Source organism: Homo sapiens, chromosome 10, assembly GCF_000001405.40.
Source record: "Homo sapiens chromosome 10, GRCh38.p14 Primary Assembly".
In the NCBI taxonomy this organism is placed as follows: Eukaryota; Metazoa; Chordata; class Mammalia; order Primates; family Hominidae; genus Homo; species Homo sapiens.
In genome coordinates this window covers 17793848-17818915 of record NC_000010.11, presented here as the reverse complement: position 1 = coordinate 17818915, position 25068 = coordinate 17793848, and the positions used below count along the sequence as shown (strand labels likewise).

The window sequence follows — 25068 nt, the reverse complement described above, 5'->3', positions numbered from 1 at the left end:
CCTCAAACTCTCCAGGCTCACTTCCACATTAGTGACTTCATGTTTTGAGTTCCCTCTTCTTGGGATGCTCACTAAGGTCACAGCTCAAGTGTCAACTTTCCTTTTCTTTCTTTCCTTGAGACAGACCCTTGCTATTTCACCCAGGCTGGAGTACAGTGGCGCCATCTTGGCTCACTGCAACCTCAGCCTCCTGATTTCAAACCATTCTCCTGCCTCAGCTCTGGGATTACAGGTGCATGTCACCACACCCACCTAATTTTTGTATTTTTAGTAGAGGTGGGGTTTCACCATGTTGGCCAAGCTGGTCTCGAACTCCTGACCTCAAGTGATCCGCACACCTCGGCCTCCCAACGTGTTGGGATTACAGGTGTGAGCCACTGCGCCCAGCCAAGTGTCAACATCGTAGCAGGCTGATCATCCTAACTCATTTTATTCTTTTATTTACCATATAATATCCATAACCATCTTAAAATATATTTTTCTTCAATTTGTTTACTAATGTTCTGTCCATAGTCCCCTACTGGAATGTAAATTTCATGAGACGAGGTACTTGATCTTTCTGATTTAGTGCTGCAGTCTCTTTTTGGGGAGCATAAATAATCTCTCAACAAATAATTAGTTGAATGAATGAAAGAATGTTTATTAAGCGGAAGCATCTTAACTAGTAACCCAGATAAATTATTTATCTAATGATAGATTAATGATTACAGGTATGCTGAATATTCATTTTTCCCCTGAAAGCTTATTTTTACTGAAGAGCAATTTAGAAATGTGTATACTTACAAAAAGGGTACTTGGAAATGAAAAGGTTCTGTTTCAATACACACTTATCTATTCTTGTTTCCTTTATTTATCTTTTGCCATTAGGAAGCAGTGTAAGTTTGATATTGCCTTTGCCAGACAATACAAGGAAATGTAAAATTATTGCTCTATGGTGATACATTCATCGTGCATTATTCTTCTCCCCAAGTAATCAGCATGTCATTTTGCCTTTATCATCATCTCTGCAACATGTCTGACTTAAAATGTCATACTTCTTCCTCTGAAGGCGTATTCAAGACGTTGGCCAAAAGGCAGCTTGTGGCATTTTTACCAATATTAACCACACCAACATTTATAAACATTCTATTTTTGTCCATACCAATTATGTTTTTGTAACAGAAATACGGCAAAGATGAACAGATCGACACAGTCGATCTGTTTTAATTTCTCTGCAATCTCTTTTGTAGGATCTAATATGTGAGTTTCTTTTTTTAATACTTACACATCAGAAATTTATATCCAGAATTGCAGTGATTCTCCTTCCATCCTAACTTGATCTTACTAATTTCACATTAATTTTTCAACAAATACTTGACAAACAATGACCACACGCCAGATGCTATGCTAATGACAATACAAAGACAAACAAAAGACATAAGTTTCCTGCCATGTTGAGCACACTCTCTGCTGTGGTTAACTCAAAGGCAAAAAGATCAAGGATCAAAATACATTTAGTAAAGAAGCAATAAGTTTCAACCCAATATCTCAGGTTAAAAATGATTAAAGACTAAACATCCAGTAACATGCAATAAGTTTCAACCCAATATCTCAGGTTAAAAATGATTAAAGACTAAACATCCAGTAACATAGGTGTGGATTTTCTTTCTTTTTTTTTTTTTTTTTTTTGAGACAGAGTCACTCTGTCGCCCAGGCTGGAGTGCAGTGGTGTGATCTCAACACGTTGCAACCTCCGCCTCCCAGGTTCAAGCGATTCTCGTGCCTCAGCCTCCTCAGGAGCTGGGACTATAGGCATGTGCCACCACACACCCAGCTAATTTTTGTATTTTTAGTAGAGATGAGGTTTCACCATGTTGGCCAGGCTGGTCTCGAACTCCTGATCTCAAGTGATCCACCTGCCCCGGCCTCCCAAAGTGCTGGGATTACAGGCATGAGCCACCGCGCCTGGCCTGGATTTTTTTTAAGCATTTTTAAAATTATGCCGCAACATTGAACAAGTCATTAAATTCCCAAGCCTACTAGCAAAGAAAATTTGGTTATTAAAGGTGATTGTTCAGGGAGATAAGTATGATATGCTACATTTTCTTATACATTTTTAGATTTTCCTGACTATCAGCAAATAAAATGCTGACATTGGAACACAAAAGACAATAACTTCTGGAAGACAGAGAAGCCAGATAAGAGGAAAAGCAGCAAGTAGCTGTAGCAGATGCCTCCAGATTTATACTATTTCTCCTCGGCCTTCGCTGTTTAGGTGCATGCAGGCCCCACTCCCAAACGCCAGCACCACGCCTTTTGCCCTGGGGGCTTTTTCTGGCTATCAGAGCCCTCTAGGCTCAAACATGGCACAAATTAGATGGGTCAGAAAACGAATGCCCTGTAGGAGGAAGCCTTCATCAGAGGCCAAGGAGAACCGCTGACGGCTCTAAATCTCTTGTACCTTGGATGTGATGAGTCCAAGGCAACCATTCCACACCGTCGCCCAGAGCTCCTACACTCCATTGCCCACAGCGGTCACTGGGTGTCCACACACCTTCCCTTTCTGTCTCACTTCCCCGTTACCCTGTCAGTGTTTCCTGGGCTCACTTCCCAAATAAACTAACTTGCCCTCAAACCAGAGTGCAATTGTCTGAGGACAGCTTCTTGGGGAATCCAAACTAAGAAATATGTTCACCAGCCTCAGTTAAATAAATGTACCTATGTTTTCCCCAAAGACCCCAAATTCAGTGAAAAACAAATATTTACCCTGCACCTAGTACATTCAAGAAGCTATGCCAGGTGCTGGGGGCTGATGGAGGGTGTTAGTCAGTCTTAGGCTTAGAAATGTTGAACAGGAGGCCAAGGCAGGCGGATCACCTGAGGTCAGGAGTTCGAGATCAGCCTGGCCAACATGGTGGAACCGCGTCTCTACTAAAAATACAAAAATTAGCCTATGTGGTCGCACATGCCCGTAATCCCAGCTATGGGGGGCTGAGGCAGGAGAATCTCTTGAACCCACAAGGCGGAGGTTGCAGTGAGCCAAGATCGTGCCACTGCACTGTAGCCTGGGCGACAGAGTGAGACACCATCTCAAAAAAAAAAAGAAAAGAAAAAGAAATGAAATGTTGAACAAAAGAAAAAAAAACAGAGAATTACTTCATTTGTCACTTTGATCCTTCATTCAGACCCAAAATATTCAGGGAAACTACTGATTTAGGTCATTGCAACTGGCCATTTGGAAAAGTACATAATATGAACCCAGTATGGGTCTGACCACAAGGACAAAACAGAGGCCAAGAAACTCTTCCAACTTCCCTCCTACCACCTTAAAGATATGAATATCTACACCTTCCCGGGGCCATTCGCTCCCAAGTCAGTAGAAGAGGCTTCCTTCCTCCTGCTGACCGCCCTACCTGTGTCCTGGACTGTGAACCCTCCTACTTCTCCACAGCTAGTTTCTGCTCTCACTCCTATTTCTTCAGCCTCTGAATGCCAGCCTCCCCAGATCCCCCTTAAGATAAATAAACAAAACCCTTTACTAGGTAAGAAGCTGACACCACACTGCTCTTTCTTCTTCCATGCATAGCCCCACTAATTCGTTCACCTTATGTATGTATCATGTCAATCTGATCATGACATAATCAGAGCTCTAGGATTTGGCTCCCAGGTAACAGACTCCGCTGCTCGCTGACTGTGTGACCTTGGCCAAGTTCAACATTACTCTGTGCTTCCACTTCCCCATCTGTAAAATAAAGGGGGAAATAGCAGGACCTCCTCATTGTCGTGAGAATGAAATGAGATCATCTAAATAAAGTGCTTAGAAGAGTTCCTGACACAGGAATTGCTTAATATATATTCATTATTATTATTGTTAACTTGGCAAAATCAGTCGTACAGACAGTGTGAGATGTTTCAGAATAAGATGAAATGAAAGAGCAGAGAACTGTTGCAGCAGTGCAGAAAGAGGGACCGGCCAGGCACGGTGGCTCCCGCCTGTAATCCCGGCACTTTGGGAGGGCAAGGCAGGAGGGATCACCTGAGGTCAGGAGTTCGAGATCAGCCTGGTGAGCATGACCAAATCCCGTCTCTACTAAAAATACAAAAATTAGCCTGGCAGGGTGGTGCACGCCTATAATCCCTGGAGAATCACTTGAACCCAGGAAGCAGAGGTTGCGGTGAGCCGAGATGGCGCCACTGCACTCCAGCCTGGGCGACAGAGCGAGACTCTGTCTCAAAAAAAAAAAAAAAAAAAAAAAAAAGAGGGACGGAAGGACCGAGAACACGGAACTGCAGGGTTTCTAGCCTCAGGGGATGTGGTGTGGAGGGTTATCTTCTTTGGGGTTGATAGGCTTGCAATCAAATCCTGGTTCCACCATTTTTTAGCTGTGATGCCTTAGTGCTATTAGCCATTCTAGCCTCTACTTCCTCATCTGTAAAATGGGGACAATAATGCTGTCTGGTAAAGCTACCGTGAATTTCTAAATGAGATCATTTATGTAAAGCACCCAGCATATTATCTGCATCTAATACACACTTGATAAATATTAATTCCTTCCTTTCCCCCTCTTGAAGTGAAAAGTCTAAAAAAATTGATACAGATAAAGGGATCTAAGTCCTTCTTCTAACATAGTGTTATTTTGAACCACATTATATCTTTCCTGATCAACACACTCCAGGTAGTAAATTTATCTACTTCTTAGCCTCAGAGTCTAAAGATCATAATGAAGAGTTAGCTCTGGTCTTTACTGACTACCTGACTTCTGCAAGCCACTGAATCTTCAGAGCTTCAACTTTCTCACATAGGGAAAGGTGCACAATGACATCTTCCCATCTGCTTTATGGGAAGCTATGGGTCCCTGAGGTCTAAGTTTCTACTACAGTTATTCATGTGCAATATTTGTAGATTAAACCAAAAGCTGCACAACTGTCAAAACCTAAGGTTGAGCATGGTGGCTCATGCCTGTAATCCCAGCACTTTGGGAGGCCGAGGTGAGCAAATCACTTGAGCCTAGGAGTTTGAGACCAGCCTGGACAACATGGCAAAACCCCATCTCTACAAAAAAACACAAAAGTTAGCCAGGCATGGTGGCATGCACCTGTGGTGCCAGCTACTTAGGAGGCTGAGGTGGGAGAATCACTTGACCCCGGGAAGTCAAGGCTACAGTGAGCAATGATCATGCCACTGCACTCCAGCCTGGATGACAGAGTGAGACCCTGTCTCAAAAAAAAAAAAAAATATATATATATATATATAATGTGTGTGTGTGTGTGTGTATATATATATATGTATATATTTATATATATAAAATCTAGCCCTATGTTCCAAAGCATAAAAGTTAGCTCAGCCTTCTAGATACAAACACTGAGAAAGATGGAGAACAAATTTAAAAAGGAGAAAGGTGCTTGTATTTTTCTCCCACTTAATTCAGTTTTGTGAAAAAATACACTGAAGAATCAATATTTACCATAAGACATACATTTATATTGGAATCAAAGTTTTCAAGAGTGCTTGTGAAAAACCACTACTGTGATAATCACATGATAATAATTATCTTTCTTAGCATTTCAACGAGGGAAATGAAATAGAGGAGTATCAGGATTATACCATTAGCGTGATGTCTATGTCAGAACCACAGTTGGATCCCTTCCAGCCAAATGTGAGACCCGCAAATGGCAACAGGAATAACCTAATTTGCACTTACTTGATCTAACAGCGCAGCAAGAAATCTAAGGGGATGTGGAAAAGTACAAGCCGTTGAGCAAAGTCCTGGATCTACATCTACCTGCTAAACAGTCACCTTCTGGACATTTTACCTCCCTGAGCCTGGTGCTTCATCTATAAAATGATGATGTCAAAATGCATCATTTCCTAGTTTGTTCTTGCTTTAATGGTCTATGATTCTAAGGCTTCTCTGTCCACCAAGACGTCTCTCATTATCATTTTTTGCAGATGTTCTAGGCTTTTCATGATACTACCTGACCCACTGTTTGAGCGCCTTCCCAGAGCCTAGAAAGGCTCCATATTGCCCTGGGACCAATAGCAGCAGCTAGCAAGAGCCTATTGTTGGCCAGGTGTGGTGGCTCATGCCTGTAATGTCAGCACTTTGGGAGGCTAAGGTGGGCAGATCACGAGGTCAGGAGTTCAAGACCAGCCTGGCCAACATGGTGAAACCCCATCTCTACTAAAAATAGAAAAAATTAGCCGGGTGTGGTGGCGGGTGCCTGTAATCCCAGCTACTCGGGAGGCTGAGGCAGGAGAATTGCTTGAACCCACGAGGCAGAGGTTGCAGTGAGCCAAGATCACACCATTGCACTCAAGGCTGGGTGACAGAGAGAGACTCCATCTCAAAAAAAAAAAAAAAAAAAAAAGCCTACTGTTGGCATCTCTTCCCAACTCTGCCCCCAGGGGCATCAAGTCAGTAGCTTGAAATCAACCATGGTGGGAATATTTACAGCATGGACATCAGTAAACAGCAAAACAGCATAAGTCAAATCAGTGCTTCCTTTCTTTTCCTTCTTGGAACCAGTAGTTGTTTGCCAATACACCACTACCTGTGAGCCAAACCCTCCCATTTCCAAGTTAAACTTCTTTGCTGTGGTCTAACCTCTGTGTCCCACCGGCTCTCATGGTGCATCTACCATGATTATAACCCAACTGAGCTGGAAACCTTGCTGCTGAGTGCTAAAAAGATAGTGCGGCAAGAACAACAGTAGGAAAGGTGAGCGTCTAGCCCTGTTAACCTCTAGACTCCTGGACCCCTCCAGGGAGAACCAGCCCATCCGTTGGCAGCAGCCCACAGAGACTTATGGTGCTAATGCTGTGGGATGCTCTCCTGAAGGTGGAAGGAAGGGGTGTGGATTGAAAAGAAATAAACTGATGGCAAGTAGGGAGACCTTCCCATGGGTTTTCCTAGTGGGCAGGAAGCCAGGGGAGAGGTGTTGGGGCTTCGCATAGTTTAACCTGCTGCTAACTAAGCAGGTGCCCTGCCTTTACACAAATTCCTCCAATCACATGCTTCTCGGGCCAAGAAAAGATAAAATAAAAGTTACAGGCTGGGTGCAGTGGCTCACATCTATCATCCTGCACTATGGGAGGCCAAAGTGGGAGGATCACCAGAGCCCAGAAGTTTGAGATCGGCCTGAGCAAGATAGTGAGACCCCATCTCTACAAAAATAAAAAAAAATAAAAAAAATTAAAAATTAGCCTGGCATAGTGGCTCAAGCCCAAAGTCCCAGCTACTGGGGAGTTGGGAGTGGGCCAAGGTGGGAGGATTGCATGAGCCCAGATGTCAAGGCTGCAGTGAGCCATGATCACACCACTGCACTCCAGCCTGGGTGACAGAGTGAAACCAGTCTCAAAAAACAAAACAACACAAATTACAGGCTTTCACGTAGGAAAAAAAAATCTGGAAGGGGGGTCCCTTGAATTTTTTGTTTGTTTATTCTCCAAGTAAACAGATCTTCAGCATCCCCCTTCTCTCCCCAATATTTGTGCCTATGAAGAGGAAGACATTAGTCAGAGGAGGGCATCCTGCTGTCAGGAAGAGGGAAACACTCCTGAGCAAACCGAGAAACACTATTGCTCAAAGCATTATTGAGTCAGTTTAAAGAAAATTAGGCACTGTGTCTGTGCTGCCCAGTATGATAGCCAGTCACCTCATGTAACCATTGTACACTTAAAATGACACTACTGTGAATTGAGACATGCTATAAGTATGCAATACTCACCAGATTTTGAAGAGTTAGTTTTAAGAAATGAATGGGAAAATATTCCAAATCGATTAAATGTTGAGGGATAATATTTCCGAGTTACTGGGTGAAATAAAATACATTAATAATATCAGGGCTGGGCGCTGTGGCTCATGCCTATAATCCCAGCACTTTGGGAGGCTGAGGAGGGCAGATCACTTGAGGTCAGGAGTTCGAGGCCAGCCTGGCCAACATGGTGAAACGTTGTCTCTACTAAAACTACAAAAATCAGCTGGGCATGGTGGTGCATGCCTGTAATCCCAGCTACTTGGGAGGCCGAGGCAGGAGAATCACTCGAACCCAGGAAGTAGAGGTTGCAGTGAGCCAAGATCATGCCACTGCACTGCAGCCTGGGCAACAAAATGAGAATCTGTCTCAAAAATAAAAATAAAATTAATTTCATCTATCCTTTTTATTTGGCCTTTTATGTACTTCTTTTCTGCCACTGATTTTAATAGCTAACACTTATAAGGCACTTACTATGGGTCATACTCTGTTCTAAACATTTCACATATTGTTACTCATTGAATCATCACAAGAACTGATGGGGGCAGGTAATATTATTCTTTCCATTTTATAGACATGGAAACTAAAGCACAAAGAAATAAAGTAGCCTGCCCAAGGTCGCAAAGCTAGTGAGTGAGAGAGACAGGATGTAAACCATACCGCCTTCACTTGTGTTTTTGTAATCACTACCACTCAATACTTATGATTTAACATTTGCGGTACTAAAACACTCTCTTCCTAGGAAACTTCCCACCCGCCTTCACATCAGTGCATAGAGTAGATCGTAGGCACAAACCATTCTCTGCAAGTGTTTGTTGATTTCATAGAATTAAAGGGGGATCAGAAATCAAAAAATCAAATTTGAAATCTCTTCTAAATCATCTCCAAATAGAACCAGGAATGAAAATCCCCCGAGGCACTCCCATCCTGAAGTTTAAGCAACTGAGTATAGAGAAATAGAAAAGACAGACTGGAAAAGGTATTTGAGAATTTGAACAACTCTGGAGCTGTTCCTAATGAGTAATCTCTAATCTCCAGAAAAAGAAGAAAAACAGGAATCGATCTGCTTATGCGGCAGTTTGAATAGTCTAGAATACAGATAAGGATGAACTTTCTAACAATCAAGTGTCTGAATGATTCTGGCAGAAAAAAAAATGAGTATGGAAATTGCTTAGAATCTCTTTTGGGGGGATGATCTGCGATGATACCCTCGGACCTAAGACGCGGGGAGACATCAGGGCTGCCCTCCTTCCAGCCAGAGACACTCAGAAGGTGTTTGTTGGCGGTGAGACAGAAATAGTGTGAATTGAAAACCAGAAAGAGTAAACCACAGAGCAGGAAATTTCTGCACGAAGAAAACAGGGAAGGAACAACGAGCGATGAGAGAAGTCAGGAGGACACTGAAGGTCTGTAGGGTTCCCGGCAGGGCAGCAACCGAGACCTGAGACGCATCCTCCTCCCTCCTCCAACTCCAGGCCTCCCATGCCTGGCCGCCAGGTGAAGGCAGCAGGCTTAGCCGTGGACTGCGTGGTGCAGGGGAACCCCGTTTCCTCCTCACAAAGATGTTGAAAGGAACCCATTCACAGTAACCCAGAAGAGGAAGGTGTGGTTCCGGCCCCCCAGGTCAGAGATCCCCTGCCTCAGAGCAGACTTACCCAGTAGGAGAACAGCACCCGGAATGACAGAGGCAAAAACCAGGAGCAGGGGTAGCCTCATGGCCCAGGGTTTATCCTTTCCTTCTCCTGATGGACAGGAGGGCGGAACTAAGACGCAAAACAACGAGGCCCCCCAACTGCCTCTCCACCTAATCCAAGTTCCCAGAGCTGCCCAGCTGAAAAGAACTACAGAGGAAGCCCTCCCTTTTAAAGGGCTCCTGAATTTAGGGAAAGCCTCTACTGAGGAGACATCCTGTCACATGAGGGTGGCTGGAAAAACAGGAATTCAAAGTAACAACTTTGCTTCGTAAGCTAACTTCTGAGAAGAGCAGACGCAGAGGAAGGGGAGAAAGGGACACGTGTGGGAGAGGAGTGGCGGGGTGGGGAGGAGAGAGGGCGATGGTGATGGTGAGGAGTCAGGAAGGAGAGAAGTGAAACAGCCTGGGAGCTCCCGGCCTGCTCAGATGGGGCTGGGTGGAGATCAAGCTGCAGGCCATTACCTGTGCCGGAAGACGGAGCTTCCCCTGGGAAGCAGCTGAGTCAGGGGTCCCTCAGCAGACAACCTCCACTCTGAAGTGACAGCCACACGGGCCCTGGAAAGGACAGTTTTACGCTGGAAACACTTCAGAGTTGAAGCTCATCCCCTTCAGTTTCCACATTCAGTGCTTAGAGCCTTTCTTTTTTTTCTTGGAAAGTTTCAACAGAAAGTTCCGTGGAGCTTCATTTCCTCCAGGCAGAAGAAAAGTGAAAAGGAGGCTACACCTAAGAGGGAATGTCAGTCAGGCCAGGAAGGAGAAAGTTCTAGAAACCTTTTGCTAGAACGTTCTCTAGAAAGCCAGAAAAAACAGTGGTAAAGGATTTGCAGTAAAGCCTTGCTGCCCAGCCTCAACCATCCCGGTCCTCTTCAAGTTTAAGTGGGTCCCCTTGCTAGAAAAAGAAAATCTGGCCAGGCACAATGGCTCACGCCTGCAATCCCAGCAGTTTGGGAGGCCGAGGCAGTCAGATCACCCGAGGTCAGGAGTTTGAAACCAGCCTGGTCAACATGGCAAAAACCCGTCTCTACTAAAAATACAAAAGTTAGCCGGGTGTGATCATGCACACCTGTAAGCCCAGCTACTCAGGAGGCTGAGGCAACAGAATCGTTTGAACCTGGGAAGTGGAAGTTACAGTGAGTCAGGATCGCACCACTACACTCCAGCCTGGGCGACAGACGCGAAACTCCATCTCAAAAAAAAAAAAGAAAAGAAAAAAAAGAAAAAGAAAATCTGATTGTTTGGTCAAAAGGTATATCTTTATTTAAAGGCAAGTGGAATTCTTTCTTAGAATAAAATATGTTTCTAGATCTTTCATTAAGCAGAAAATAACCCTCCAAACATTTATGTTGTCATTTTTCAAAAGTAGAACAGGAATTTAGAACATTTTAAAGCAGAAACTAACGATTAGCTGGCCAAACCGTTACTAGAGTGTGGAATATGTTAGTAATTCAAAAAGAAGCTACTGGAAACATTGTAATTTTTAAAATTTTTTAAATGAATAGTTTTATCTTCAAACGGAAAGCCTCCACATTCGTTGTCTTTGTGATAAAGTTGAAAAGTTTCCATCCTATTAGAAATGTGATGTAGTTCTCTTACTGATTGTTTTTAACATGTAAATTTGAGATTATCCTGACCGGAGGGAAAAAGATAGTGAAAATGTAGGACAGAGGACCAAAGTTTCTTTGTCACTAAGGCTGTACATGACTGAAAAAAAAAATGATGGTTATAGAACAGAACAGACAAAACAAAAATGTTTCTCAGACATTGTTTCACTGGCTTATGAAAATAATAGTTTAAATGGGTCATTTGTGGCTTTCAAATATAAATAAATCATATACAAAAGTGACTGCCTAATTTACATTTATATATATTTCAGAAGCAAATACATTTAATTGAATTATGTATATAATCACATTCAGGGTTGGTTTGTTTCTTTGAGACAGAGTCTTGCTCTGTCGCCCAGGCTGGAGTGCAGTGGTGCAATCTGGGCTCACTGCAACCTCCACCTCCCGGGTTCAAGCGATTCTCCTACCTCAGCCTCCCAAGTGGCTGGGATTACAGGCGCGTGCCATGATGCCCAGCTATTTTTTGCATTTTTAGTATAGACGGGGTTTCACCATGTTGGCCAGGCTGGTCTCAAACCCCTGACCTCAAGTGATCCGCCCGCCTTGGCCTCTGAAAGTGCTGGGATTACAGACGTGTGCCACCATACCTGGCCCAGGGTTTGTTTTTTAATTACATAAGTGTGTATATCACATTAGTAAAATTAAAAATTAGGATCAGTACTAAAATCTGTGAAGTTTAAACAAAATGCAGCCAACCACCCCACAAAGAATTTACCCCATGACCTTGACCTCGTTGAAACAAAGATTTATCAGGCTACAAGAGGCCACTGGGGCAAAAAATAAATCCAAATCTTGGGGAAGGGATGTCACAGAAGATGGTGGTGTGGGAAACTCCAGGAATTCATCCCTCCATCTAAGCAGCCATCAAATGGACAGGAACTGACTGAAGTAACTGCAGGTGCTCCTCTACTCATGATCAAATTAGGCCCTGTTAAACCCAATGTGAGTTGAAATATGCTAAGTCAAAAATGCACTTAATACACCTGACCTACCAAACATCACGGCTCAGCGTAGCCTACCTTAAACGTGTTGAGAACACTTACATTAGCTTCCAACTGGGCAAAATTGATAGGGACAGGAGGCAGAGAAGTGCTAGGTAGAGAAGGGCAGGATCCCTGGCGAGGGCTCCACCCTCGGACCTGTGCCCACGGACCTAAGTGGGAACAGGCACTCCTGTTTTCATGCGCAAATGTTACATTTCCAAGACCACTATGATTCACCACACCCCGCATCCTGTGCCCATAAAAACCTGAGACCTTAATGGGCATAGACACAAGCGCTAAACATTGAGAAGAGTGAAGGAATAGAGCAGTGGAGAGCAGTGGGGTGGCGCAGCAGAGAAAGAGAGAAGAAGGACATCTGGACACCAAGGGGAGTTTGGCCAGCAGTGGTTGGAGAATAGTCTGGGGGGTTAGGCAGCCTGGCTCCAGGGGAAGACCACCTTCCCACTCCACTCCCCACTTCCAGTTCCCCATCCATCTCGCTGAGAGCCACCTACACCACTCAATAAAACCTTGCACTCAACCCTCCAGCCCACATGTGATCTGATTCTTCCAGTACACTGGGCAAGAACTCAGGCTGTCACACTGCCTCCCTGTCCTTGTGATAAGGCAGAGGGTCTATTGAGCTGACTAACACAAGCTGTCTGCAGATGGTATAGCTGAAAGAGCACACTGTAACACACGCCCACTTGGGCTTCAGGAGTCCTAGATGCTGCCGTGGGGTGGAGCCCAAAAGCACTCCCCACAGCCTCTGCACCTGCCCATCTGCATGCTGCATGCTCCCCCCTAGGGGTTTGAGCAGCAGGGCACCAAAGGAGCAAGCCTCATTCCTGTCGCACCCCCTGCGAGGGTCATAAGGGAACTCTTCTATTTCAAAATCATCTAACAAAACCTATTTTATAATACAGTGTTGAGTATCTCGTAATTTATTGGATATGGTACTAAAAGTGAGAAGCAGAATGGGTGTATGGGTATTCGAAATACATTTTCTACTGAATGCACCATTTCTATTTCACATCATCATAAAGTGGGTAAATCATTATGTCTAACAATCCTAAGTCAAGGACCATCTGTATTTGGGAACTAGTCTAGTCAGAAACTTGGAGCATCCAAGGGAGAGCTTGATAAAGAGGCTGGTACATTTCAGCGAATTTCAGCTTCTCCCTGTGGTTATGGCTGTGTCAGGCAGCTGTGAAGGGGGAAGCAGCCCACACGCCCAGTGCAGCTAGGTGAGGCCAGGCCGGGCAACAAGGATTTAGCCCTCCAAATGTCAGGACTGTGTGTTCTGATTGGTGCTTTTATTTGCTTTCATCACTTCTCTTCAACTTAGTACTGGAAGTTCTAATAAGAGCATGTAGGAAAGAAAAAAATAAATAAAAGCATCCAAATTAAAAAGGAAGAAGTGAAATTATCTCTGTACACAGATGGCCTGATTTTAAATGTAGGAAGTCCTAAAGCTTACACACACACACACACACACACACCACACACAAATACCACATACACATACACAATAGACACATACACACCACACACACACACCACACACACATACATACACACGCCACACACACACACATACACACCACACACACAAACTGTAGCACTAACAAATTTAACAAAGTTGCAGGACACAAAATCAAAACACAAAAATCAGTTGAATTTTGATACACTTGTAATGAACAATCTGAAAATAAAATTAAGAAAATTCCATTTGCAATAGAATCAAAAAGAACAAAATACTTAGGAATAAATTTAACTACGTAGACAAAAGACTTGTCCACTGAAAACTACAAATGGTTGCTGAAAGAAAAAGACCTAAATAAATGAAAAGATACCCTGTGTTCATGAAATGGAAGACTTGATATTGTTAAGATGTCAATATTATCCAATATAATCTATAGATTCATGCAATCCCTATCAAAATCCCAATGATTTTTTTTTTTTGCAGAAATGAAAAACCCCATCCTAAAGTTCATATGGAATTTCATGGGAGTCTGCACAGCCAAAACAATTTTGAAAAAGAATGAAGTTGAACGATTCACACTTCCTGATTTCAAATCATACTACAAAATGACAGTAATCTAAACAGTGTGGTACAGGCATAAGGATAGCCATATAGGCCAATGGAATACAATAGAGAGGCCAGAAATAAACCTATGTGGGCAGTTGATTTCCAACAAGGTGCCAAAAGCATTCAATGAGGAAAGAACAGCATTTGTGCTGGGAAAACTGGCCATCCACAGGAAAGAGAATGAAATTGGACTCTTACCTTACATTAAATACAAAAATTAACCCAAAGTGGATCAAATGCCTAAACATAAGAGCTAAAAACTATAAAACTCTTAGAAGAAAACGTCAGGAAATAAAATCTTCACAACATTGGATTTGACAATGATTTCTTGGATTGGATACCAAAAACACAAGCAATAAAAAAGTAGATAAAAAGGCCTTTATCACAGTTAAAAACTGTGTCCACCAAAGTACACTATCTAGAAAGTGAAAAGACAGCACAAAATAGAAAATATCTGTAAATCACATATCTGATTAAGGGATGAATATCCAGAATATATTAACAACTACAACTCAATAACCACAACAAAACCAAATACAAAATGGTCGGTGGACCTGAACAGATAATTCTCCAAAGAAGATATACAAGTGGCCAATAAGCTAAGCACATGTAAAGATGCTCAACATCATTAGTCATTAGGGAAATGTAAATCAAAACTACAATGAAATAGAATTTCACACCCAAAAGAATTATTACTTTAAAAAAACAGAAAATAACAAGTGATGGTGAGAATATGAGAAATTGGAACCCTCGGGCATTGCTGGCGGGAATGTAAAATGGTGTAGCCACTGCGGAAAACAGCTTGGCAATGCCTCACAAAGTTACACTATAATTATCATACGATCCAGCAATTCTACTTCTAGGTATATACCCAGAAGAACTGAAATTAGGGACTCAAACACATATTTGTACAACAATGTTCAAAGAAGTTTTACTTATGATAGCCAAAAAGTAGAAGCAACTCAGGTGTCTGTTAGCAGATAAACAAATGTGGTATGAACATACAGTGGGATATTATAGAGCCGTAAAAAGGAATCCTGATACCTGCTATATGTACAACCTTTCAACATTTTGCTAAGTGAAATAAGCCAAACATAAACGGACAAATATTATGTGATTCCACTTATGTGAGGTATATAGAATAGGTAAATTCAGAGACATAGGAAGAAGAGAGTTTACTAAGGGGTGGGAGGTGGAGGATGGAGGAGAATGGAGAGTTATTGTTTAATGGGCACAGAGCCCATTGGATGTTGGATGATGAAAAGTTCTGGAAATACAGAGTGGTGATAGTTAAACAACATGGTGAATATGTTTAGAGCCATTGAATTGTACAGTTGAAATGACTACAATAATAATTGTGTTATGTATCCTTTACCAAACTTTTTTAAAAATCCAACTCATGCCATCCTGTCTACACCCTTCTACTAAGTTCTGGTTCTGAATTTTGGTTAGCTATTGATGATGGTGGTTATTTTTAACTAGTCCTTTCTTCAAGCTAAAATATAAAGGAAATTCTCATTTTTTTATTGGCAAGACAATCAACTGTGTCATTTCCTCCTAGACTTTCTCAAACACCAGCCACCTCCTACCCACTCAGTTTCACGTATGATGAACTTAGTGTCTGCTTTGCTCTGAAATAGTTCCAAGAAAAATAGCTGGGCAAAATTTTTCATAACCTGTTACATCATTTCTCACAGATAAAACTGGTAAGCCCTTCAGAAATGGTGTTTTCAGTAAGCCTATCTTTTAATGAACAAATTTATTCAACTCTTATCAACATAATTCCTACCAGCCAAAAGAAAAAAAAGATATTTTTGAGTAAAAATTTAAAAATTTAGATGTTCTTATACCTCATATTTTTCAGTCCTTACCAAAACCATAGCAAAACATCAACAATGCATTTACAGTTTAATAGAAAACTACTATATCATAGCAATCCAATTTCTTTGCATTCAATTACTTACATAAAATTAGGCTTTAATTGTAACTGTCTTCAGATAACATATTTAGACTTATTGTAATCAACAGTGTGTAGATTCATAGTATTTGAAGGACCTTTGAATTTTGTATTTCTATAACCAATACTTTGTTTCATTTGGTTTTGTCTTGGCACACATCGTTTTAATATACTAAATTTTACAAAGTAATTTAATTAAAAGGCTATTTGACCCATTTAATTTTTGAAACAAATTTTTTTTTTTTGAGATGGAGTGTCGCTCTGTCACTCAGGCTGGAGGGCAGTGGCGCAGTCTCAGCTCACTACAAGCTCCGCCTCCTGGGTTCACGTCATTCTCCAGCCTCAGCCTCCCCAGTAACTGGGACTACAGGCACCCGCCACTACGCCTGGCTAATTTTTTGTATTTTTAGTAGAGATGGGATTTCACCGTGTTAGACAGCATGCAGGATGGTCTCGATCTACTGACCTCGTGATCCACCCGCCTCGGCCTCTCAAAGTGCTGGCGTGAGCCACTGCGCCCGGCAGAAACAAATTTTAAGAATAAGATTAAACATGTGTTTATAATCTGAAAGTGACCTATACTTTACAGATGGAAACCAAGACACAACAATGTTGGGCTGGTTCTTCAGAACAACACTTACTATGTAAGATTATGTATAATTTTTAGCAATTTGAAACGCAAATTTTCTATTTATTCACTCAAATATTCTGAACACCTCTAAGGTATCTGAGTTAAATATTTAAAAGAAAAAAGTTTTGTAGAGAAAGAAGGCATTCCTTAAAAATCCATTATTTCCATTTCAATATAAGAATAATTACAAGTTAAAATAAAAAATAATCTTATTAAAAATAGGCATATCTTGGGAAATTAAGATGTGTGTATATATAAATGCACACTTTCACAGCAAGTGTTACTTTAGTAAATATTATCCTCAAATTCATATAAAACCATACCTAGTCTATAACAGGCACTCAAATTTGTCAAATGACAAATTAATGAAATTTCCAAAAAATAATCTTCAGGATATGGTAATATATGTAAAAGCTCTTGTAAATAATTGTTAATACAAATATCTCAGGTTACTAAAGCTATTAATCACTAGTACTCAGGGATGTAGAGGTTGTGCATTGTTCAACCTGAAGGGGCGCTGTATGATTTAGAATTCATTAATTAATCTCACCTGTAAACATTGGAAACACCTTTCGAATGCAGTTGGATCTGGTTCTCAGTGTCTCTGTGTGGGCAGGTGTACATGGCTCTCTGTTTCTCTATTTTTTCACCTTCTGACTCTACTGTTTGTGTGTTTGGATTCGATTACTACAGAGCACAGAAGGTGGATGTGAGACAGACAACCAGGAAGCTGAACATTGTATAAGAGCTGTGACGGTTAATATTCAGTGTCCACTTGATCGGATTGAAGAATACAAAGTATTGTTCCTGGGTGTGTCTGTGAGGGTGTCGCCAAAGGAGATTAACATTTGAGTCAGTGAATGGGGAGAGGCAGACCCACCCTCAATCTGGGAGGGTACCATCTCATCAGCTGCCAGCACAGCTAGGATAAAAGCAGGCAGAGGAACGTGGAAGGACTAGACTTGCTGAGTCTTCTGGCCTCCATCCTTCTCCTGTGCTGGATGCTTCCTTCCCTCCAACATTGGACTCCATGTTCTTCAGCTTTTGGACTCTTGGACCTACACCAGTGGTTTGCCAGGGGCCCTCGGGCCTTTGGCCACAGACTGAAGACTGCACTGTCGGCTTCCGTATTTTTGAGGTTTTGAGACTCGGACTGGCTTCCTTGCTCCTCAGCCTGCAGATGGCCTACTGTGGGACTTCACCTTGTGATCGTGTGAGTCAATACTCCTTAATACACTCCCTTTCATATATACATCTATCCTATTAGTTCTGTCCCTCTAGAGGACTGACTAATACAAATGCATCCTCTCATAATGAAACAGCCATCACAAGAGATTTGTTTAAACATAGAATTTTAATTAACATGTAAAAACAGCCCCATTGTAAAACAAAATGTCTTTAGCCATTTCATTTTTTTCTTCTATTATTTACTATATCTTCTATGGAGTATAAGTAGCCATTTTTAAGTTTTGTAGCTTCTAAGTGGTATATTGCTCTTTTTGTGAACAACTATTGATATATTCACTATGTAAGGCCCTGCTCCAAGGTACACAGCACAAGGCAATTATGTATTAGGCAAACAGCATAGTGCCCAGAACATAGTAGGACTTCAGCAAGCAATTTCATTTCCCTTTTCTTTCCTATGCCTCATTGCAATTGTCATTCAGTGAAATGGGGCCCTAATAAGAAAAACAAGACGAGATAACATTTACACATTGTAATTTCAAACATTAACTTTTAGAAAGAAAAGGCACTAAAAAGTGTATTACAGGTATTAGAATTTTTTGTAAAATTATAAAATAAATAAAATTTTATAAAAATTACAGCATCAATAAAATTTTATAAAATTATAAAACTACTTTATAATTATAATGCAATAAAATTATTAGACTATATATTAATAGCCTAATCATAGATTAATTTTTAAATGCACATTCCTTTAACTAACTGTACTTGACTTTTTTTTTTTTTTGAGACAGAGTCTCAATCTGTTGCCCAGGCTGGAGCATAGTGGCGAGATCTCAGCTCACTGCAACCTCTGCCCTCCGGGTTCAAGCAATTCTGATTCAGCCTCCCGAGTAGCTGGGATTACAGGCATGCACCACCACTTTCAATGGCAAAAACCTCAATTACTTTTGCACCAACCTAATAATTTTAATAATATATATAACATTTAATTACAGTGTAGAACTATCAATGTTTTCGCAGTGTAATTTGCTGTAATATCTATTAAATCCCATAGACTTGCAGTCTATAAACATGTATACACTCTAAGTAAAATATTAAATGAAATTAAATTAGCTACTCAATTTTCCTCCTACACATAATCTTCTGTACATGCCTTCATTATTTGTATAGTGTTGTGACTTCCGAAAATATCAGGCACATTCATATTAAAATATTAGATACAAAATGCATTCTAAACTCAAGTAATACTTTTGAGTTTATCTGAGCACTGTTGCTAAGTTCTAATATGGAGATAAATATATACTTACACAAAATATTTTCATATTTAGGAATATCATAAATGAATCCCTTGATGACAGGCTTTTCTTAATAATAAAAAGATACCCATGGCAGAATTCGAAAGTAATTACTTGTATTATAATTTTTTTTTTGAGACTCTTGTCACCCAGGCTGGTGTGCAATGGCGCAATCTCAGCTCATTGCAACCTCTGCCTCCCAGGTTCAAGTGATTCTCCTGCCTCAGCCTCCCAAGTAGCTGAGACTACAGGCGCGTGCCACCACACCCAGCTAATTTTTGTATTTTTAGTACAGACGGTGTTTCACCATGTTGGCCAGGCTAGTCTCGAACTCTTGGCCTCAAGTGATCCGCCTGCCAAGGCCTCCGAAACTGTTGGCACTTGAGGCACTGCGCTGAGCCTTGTATTATAATTTTTTTAAGTTATAAGTCTTGTAAGCACCTGCAGCGTTGATTGATGAAGAGAGAGATGCATTGTTAAACAAGATGCCCTCAGGCTTTCCTTTAAGGAATAAAGATTAATAGGACACTCAGAAAAGTAAACACATAATGTAAGTGTGAATAAAGTGGTGTAATTCAGATTCTATGGGAACTCAGAGGACAGACACTCAAATGTCTGATGAATGAAGGCTTGTGTCCATTTTAATTTATATATTCAGCAGATCGATCACTTTTGAATACAATACTCCTCGATGAAAAAGTATAGTCTGAAGTAACCTTAAGATTGTATGTATTATTTTTCACAAATGCAAAGTTGAAATGATTATTCCCAGAGGGTGAGCAGGGCCACAGAAAAGAATAAAACAGGAAATTTCTAAAACTGCATTGAGATACTTGTTTCTTGGAGACTTGGTACCCGTTCCAATGCTTAGCATTTATCAAGTTATTATGGTTTGCCAGAAAATGTGCTCAAAGGACTCTTTACCCTTTAACCCTCCTAACCCTATTAATGTAGTACTAGTATTATGTTCATCTTTTACATGTGGAAACGGGGACCCACAGAGGTTATAGAACCTACCTCAAATTAGAAAGCTGGAAGGCAAGCTTTTAACAACTGTGAGTAAATCTTCTTTTACAGTGTGAGAAAAATCCTAAAACAGAGGGAAAGGGAGACAGGGTGGCAAGGGGAGAGGTATTTGGTGGAGCGTAGAATAACACAACGTCAAATTCTCTTTTATTTTTTTTAGATGGGTGTCACTCTGTTGCCCAGTCTGGAGTGCAGTGGCATGATCATAGCTCACTGTAGCCTTGACCTCCTGGGCTCAAGCAATCTTCCTGCCCCAGCCTCCTAAGTAGCTGGGACTATAGTTGCAGATCACCATGCCCAGCTAATTTTTGTATTTTTTGTAGAGGTAGAATCTCTCCATGTTGCCCAGGCTGGTCTCAGACTCCTGGACTCCAGTGATCTACCTGCCTCAACCTCCCAAAGTGCTGGGATTACACGTGTGAGCCACCACAGCCGGCCATATGTCAAATTCTTAAGCTTCATTCTTAAGCCATATGTCTCATTCTTAATGATTTGTTATCACAGATCATTGAAGAAACTGGCTACATAAATCATTACTCTTGCATTATCAGCCTCTCACAAATCTCTCTAGCATCTGAAAATTACTATCAAATGAACAGTGCTGACTGTTCAGAGTGTCCCAACAGGGTGAAAGCAAGTTGCATGACTCTGTATCTAATTATTTTATAACATCAATATATCCATGATATAGTATCACATAAGACACTGATACATTGGCTATTATATTTGTAAGCCGAACTTTTAATTTTAAACAGGGCTTGTACTTTGATTATTTATCAAAGTATCAAATTCCACAAATAAAATATTCTTTTACTTTGAAATCTCTGTCTTCACTTTATGGCTTTTTATTATGAAACTTTATCTTGGTATTACTGATGTACCTTGACTTCATTATACTAAACAACACTCATATTAGTACTTCAGTACTGGCAATACAGCTAAGCCTTAAACTGAGCCAAATATCTGTTAAAGTGAATTGCTTTTTATGCTGAAATCAATTTATTGAATAAAAGTCCCTTGCCACAATGGAATAAAGAATATAATTCCACCTTTGAAGGAACCCCTAAAACTACAATTTTCAAATTTTTAAAAAGTATAATCCAGCCGGGCGTGGTGGCTCACACCTGTAATCCCAGCACTTTGGAAGGCCGAGGTGGGCAGATCACCTGAGGTCAGGAGTTTGAGACCAGCCTGGCCAACATGGTGAAACCTCGTCTCTACTAAAAATACAAAAATTAGCCAGCGTGGTGGCAGGTGCCTGTATTCCCAGCTACTTGGGAGGCTGAGGCAGGAGAATCGCTTGAACCCGGGAGATACAGGTTGCAGTGAGCTGAGAACGCGCCATCGCACTCCAGCCTAGGGGACAAGAGCGAGACATCGTCTCAAAAAAAAAAAAAAAAGTATAACCTAAAAATTATTCAATAATTTCAAGTGTGTTTTTTAAAACTAAATTTAATCAATCAATTCATATAATGCTATCTATATAAAAGATAAAAATCTTATTCTTGGGCTAACTTGATGGAAAAGGTTCTTAGTTTTTTAAAGGGCTCCGTTGAAGAGTATTCTTAGAAAAAGCGTGGTATACATCAGTGGTCCCCAACCTTTTTGGCACCAGGGACTAGTTTTGTGGAAGACAATTTTTCCACAGCCAGGGTTGGGGGTGGGGTTGGGTTCTGGGATGAAACTGTCCCACCTCAGATCATCAGGTATTAGATTTTCTTAAAGAGCGAAAGCTAGATCCCTTGCATACGCAGTTCACAATAGGGTTTGGGCTCCTATGAGGATCTAATGCTGCTGCTGATCTGACAGGAGGCGGAATGCAGGCGGGAACGCTCAGTTTGAGGTTCACCACGTGCTGTGCGGTCTGCTTGCTAACAGATCACGGACCAGTACTGGGACCATGGTCCAGGGGTTGGGGACCTCAGTATACATAACTAACTAAAATTAGCTGCTAACATTTTCTAGAAATACCTGAGAGCCAACTTATAAGAATATTACTTTACTTAAATTTAGCACCATTTGTATATGTAAAAAAAAAAACTGATATGCTAGAGTTAGTAAAAATGGCTTATTCTCTACAATCTAGTCATTTCCTTTATAGTGCAAACACCTACGCCCCAAGAAAAAAAGAAGGATTACAAATGTGCACACAGGTATCACAAAGAGGCCTTACTAGATCCCATTTCCTTTTTAAAATGGAGACATTTCAAAGGCAGAAAAAATCCTGATTCTGGTTAGGTAATTGAAGTAAATGTAAGAGAGAGTCACGAGGATATTTTTACACAGGCCCAGTACGGGTGTGATAGTCCCCAGGGCAATGATTAAACCAAGTCTAACAAAAACGAATGGTAAATCTTGCAGCAGGACGCTCAGGGAATTGAGAAGAGGGTTTTGGGGAGTGAATGTAATTCGAAGGAGAGAAATAAAACTGAATATGTAGACTGGGTATAGCCAGCTTGACTTGTACACGTTGGGGTGACCAGCCACACGCACCATTTCTATCGTGTCAGACCACAGGAGAAAGCTCCATAAGAATAACTCTGCCCGGACATCTCGCCGGGACATCATTCTCAGGATTCCGGAGTCACAGGAGGGCTCCTGGGGTCCCATGAACACAGACTCCTGGCTCCGTGTCATGGCTCCTGATGGCTGCGACACCTGGGTGCTGTTGGTTGCCTGGGGAGATGCAGCGTTTTCTGGACTTTGCCTCACTTGCTCCGTCACAGTTTTTATGTGTTGCAAAGAGGTTGAATGGATGTGTCCATTTTCACTACCTGCAATTAACAGATTTATTTACATTTTAGTTTTTAAAATGTATCCATTTTAGCTCAAATGTTATTCAAATTTAAAATTCCATTTAAAGGTGGAATTCTCCATATTCTTTTGTTTTTCACTTAATTTAATTTAATTTTATTTTAAGTTCCAGGATACATGTGCAGGACATGCAGGTTTGTTACATAGGCAAATGTGTGCCATGGTGGCGTGCTGCACCTGTCAACCCATCACCTAGATATTAAGCCTCACATGCATTAGCTATTTATCCTGATGCTCTCCCTCCCCACATATTCTATTATTTGAGGCCGATTTTACCCATGGAATTTCAAGATAACACTGAAGTAGCACATTGAAAAAACATAGAGGTGGAGAAGGCTCTTGGTGTCTTGGTATTTTCCTGGATTCAGATCCGAAGTCATTTTTTACCACTCCATAATAACAAACATTATTGGTTTCTAAGCTATACGCTTTCACATATTATCTCATTTAATCCTCAGAACAGAGCTGAGAAAATAGGGATTACTATCCCATTTTACAACTATGGAAACGGGCTTGAGAGGTTAAAGAACGCCAATATTCAAATGCAGTTAGTATTGGGCAGAGCTGCAATTCACACCTAGATTTGTTTGACTCCAATTGACAAACTCTTAACTTTATGGCTGCTATTACCTGTCTAGATGCAATAGATCATGAGCTAATTATAAAACATTTGAGTGTCATAAAATCAAGTGAATCTAAAAGTCCCCCAATCCAACTTTGTCATTTTATAAGACAAAGGCCCTGTCATTTTGTAAGAAGAGGCTTACAGAGATTACCATACCCTAGATCTCCAGGCGTGAAGTTTGGTGCTAAGAGGGAATCCATTGTTTTTTGTTTGTTTGTTTGTTTTTTTGTGACAGAGTCTTGCTCTGTCATCCAAGCTGGAGTGTAGCAGCATGATCTCGGCTCACTGCAACCTCCACCTCCTGGGTTCAAGCGATTCTCCTGCCTCAGCGTCCCGAGTAGCTGGGATTACAGGTGCACACCACCATGCCTGGCTAACTTTTAGTAGAGACGGGGTTTCCATGTTGGCCAGGCTGGTTTCAAACTCCTGACCTCATGTGATCTTCATGCCTTGGTCTCCCAAAGTGCTGGGATTATAGGTGTGAGCCACAGTGCCTGGCCTAGAAGGAATCTGTTTGACCACTAGAGATTCATAGTGAAGAGTGACATGCTGAATCCAAGGTTTTTAAGCTGTTCTTTTGCAAAGATTCTAGAAGTGATCGTTAGGATTGGTTAACCTAAAGCATCTCTTCTGTGGCCATGGTCAACACACCAGTGATCTGAATGAATAGGGCACGTGATGCAACACCATTGTGTGTGTGTGTGCGTGTGTGTGTCTGTGTGTTCCTCTCCATGTATAATACATGGGTGTTGAGGTTGGATTATGTACAAATTCTCAAATCTCAAGACCTAAAACAATGTTGATGGCATTGTTTTTATGCACAGAAGGTATAACGAGTTCTTTTTCAAACATTTATCCACTAAAACACCATTTTGGTTGCTAAGAAATTATCAGGACTTGACAAAGTTTACTCAGCAAACATGCTGAGCTGCCATATGACGTGATAAAACAAAACTTAAAAGGAGCCATTAGACTGAATAGCTCTAAAGGTCAAAGAGACAAAGTCAATAAAAATTTGTTGAAGCGCGTGGAACTGAATTTGAAAACATTTTAAAATAAATAAATTATTATGAATAACTAATAAAATGCTTACCTACTGTAAGTAGGAGTTTGTTTAAAGGACACAATACATTTCTAATTTCTTTTATACAAGTAACTAATTAGTTTTAAAGTTTAAGTGTGAATTGAGCATTTTTATAAACTAAAAAGATAATCTAAATTCTTGATGACACATTACTTCCAGTATGAATCATTGATAGGTAAATGTCAGCACCCATGACCTTAGAAACTTCTTTACCAATATTAGAATTCACAGTGGCCTGAGTGGGAATCATCTTAATAAATAATACTAAAGTAAGGGAGAAAATTATACAACAATTTATTATTCTAAAATTCATAAAACCATCTC

General features: G+C 40.9%; 2 protein-coding genes across 3 annotated transcripts in view; both read right to left on the bottom strand.

Moving 5' to 3' along the window:
- MRC1 (mannose receptor C-type 1) overlaps nt 1-9568 on the bottom strand; it is a 101817-nt gene extending 92249 nt beyond the window's left edge. The window contains exon 1 of the mRNA NM_002438.4: nt 9390-9568. Within this exon, the coding sequence (NP_002429.1) occupies nt 9390-9450 (61 nt within the window). The 5' untranslated portion in view covers nt 9451-9568. The remainder of the gene's footprint in view (nt 1-9389) is intronic.
- The window catches only part of TMEM236 (transmembrane protein 236), a 48668-nt gene continuing 41647 nt past the window's right edge, over nt 18048-25068 (bottom strand). For both annotated transcript variants that reach the window (NM_001098844.3, XM_017016574.2), the window contains exon 4: nt 18048-22995. In NM_001098844.3, coding sequence (NP_001092314.1) covers nt 22412-22995 — 584 coding nt within the window. In that variant the 3' untranslated portion in view covers nt 18048-22411. The remainder of the gene's footprint in view (nt 22996-25068) is intronic.